The following is a 2,433-nucleotide window of genomic DNA, read 5'->3' as shown; positions in this document are numbered from 1 at the left end:
AAATTAAATTTAATAGCGTTTATTTGGGCAAAGAATGATTCATGATTGGGCAGCACTCAGAACCAGAAGAGGATCAGAGTTCTGCCCAGCAGCATGAGCAGTAAGCTTTTATAGGCTGAGCAGGGAAGCAAAGTAGAGAAATCACCTGATGGACTAGCTAAGCATTTGCTTCTTAGGCACGCTGTGATGAGGCATTTGTCTTATTTAGGCACAGTCTGATTAGTTGGCTGCCTGTGATTGACTGAGGCTCAGCTGTTTGTGATTGGCTGAAACCTGGCTATTTCTTACAAAAAAATGCTACTAAATTACGTTGTGCTTTTTAGTGTAGGAACTCAAATTAAAGAGACAGCGTCAGGCTGATGGCCTCCTGCTTGTTTTATTTAACATTGGCATATATTTAGGAGTGTTATTGCTAGTCATGGTATGTTAAGTTTAACCTTTACATATATTGCCAAACAATTTTTCTGAGTGACTGTATCAATTTAATCACTATCATCCTTTTATGATAGTTCCCAGTGCTGCTCCTCAATAGCATGTGGCATTGTCAGTCTTCTTAACTTTAGTTCTTTGGTGGCTGTGTACTTCATCTTTTTGTGGCTTTAATTTGCATTTCCCTATAACTAATAAAGTTAAGCACCCTTACAAATGTTTACAGACCATTTTTATATAATAAGAGGGTTTTTTTTCTTTCTTTTTGTAAAGTGCTTCTTCATGTCTTTCTTTCCTCCCTTTTGGCTGTTTGTCTATTACTGAATGATTTGTAGTTCTTTATATATTGTGGATACAAACGTTTTCTTGGGTATGTGTGCTGCAAATATCTTCTCTTATTGCCTATTTACTTTTTTGTTACTTTTGATAACCAGAAGTTCATTGTCTTAATAGGGTCCGATTTAACATGTTTTTCTTTAAATATAGGGATTATTGTGTCATTTTAAAAGAACCTTTGCTCATATCAAGATCATGAAGCTATTATCTTCTAGATGCTTTATTGTTTATCTTTTACTTTTAATTCTACTATTCACTTGAAATTGATTTTTGCATATAGTCAGAAGTTGGGGTCAAGTTTCTTTTTTTCCCCATACGTCTATCTCACTGACTCAGCACCATTTATTGAAAAGACTGTACTTTTCAGCCAGGCGCGGTGGCTCACGCCTGTAACCCCAGCACTTTGGGAGGCTGAGGGGGGCAGATCAAGAGGTCAGGAGTTCAAGACCAGCCTGGCCAACATGGTGAAACCCTGCCTGTACTAAAAATACAAAAATTAGCTGAGCATGGTGGCACGCTTCTGTAATCCCAGCTACTTGGGAGGCTGAGGCAAGAGAATTGCTTGAACCCACGAGGCAGAGGTTGCAGGGAGCCGACACTGCGCTACTGCACTCCAGCCTGCGTGACAAAACAAGACTCCATCCCCCGCCCCCCGCCCCCACAAAAAGAGAGAAAAGACTGTACTTTTCTGTCACTCTTCAGTACCACTTTTATCATAATTCAAGAGTTCATGTATGTGTGGATCTGTTTCTGGACTATATTTTCTATTTCATTATTAATTTAGCTACCCTTGGACAAATTCCACATGGTCTCTATTACTGTATCTTCAAAAGTAAGTCAAAGTCTGGTACAAAAATACTTACTCTTTTTTTCTTCTTTTCCAATTTTGACTTACCTGGTTTTAGCTTCTTATATTTACAAAGAAATCTTAGGATTCATTTGTCAATTTCCACATACATGCACAAACCCTCCTGAGATTTTGATTGTGATTGAATTGAATTTATAGTCCAATTTGGTGAGAACTGACATATTTACAATATTATTTTCTAATCATGAACATGATGTATTTCCCTGTTCAATTTGTGTTTAGATTTTCTTAATGGTACTTTATGGTTTGCGAGAAGTATCCACATTTGTTAGATTTATTCTCTGATATTTAATATTTTTGATGCTACTGTAACTGGTTTAATTACAACATATTATTTCACATTCTTTGGTTGTTATATTGGAATACAATTGATTTTTGATAATGGCCTTTTATCCTGGAAACTTGCTAAACTCATGCATTAATTCTAATAGGTTTTCTGTAGATTCCTTTAGATATTCCACTTAAACCATCATATTATTTGAAAATATTGCAAATCTTCATTCCCAATCTCTTTACCATTTATTCATTTAGTCTAATTTCACTGTTTGAAAGCTTCAGCACAGTGTTAAATAAAAGTGCTGATAGTGGGCATCTTTGTGTTATACTCAGTCTCAGAAAGGAAGCTCTCGCCATTTCACCATTAGCGTTTGCTGTACTTTCTTTCAGAAAAACAGGTATCTTTTATCAGATTAAGCAAGTTTCTTTCCTTCTCTAGTTTTCTAAGGGTTTTTTTTTCCCATGAACGGATATTAAAATTTATAAAATACTCAAGCGTAACTTTCTGTTTATTCTGTTAATGT

This window comes from Homo sapiens, chromosome 9 (assembly GCF_000001405.40).
Source record: "Homo sapiens chromosome 9, GRCh38.p14 Primary Assembly".
Classification (NCBI taxonomy): domain Eukaryota; kingdom Metazoa; phylum Chordata; class Mammalia; order Primates; family Hominidae; genus Homo; species Homo sapiens.
Note: the sequence above shows the minus strand (reverse complement) of the source record.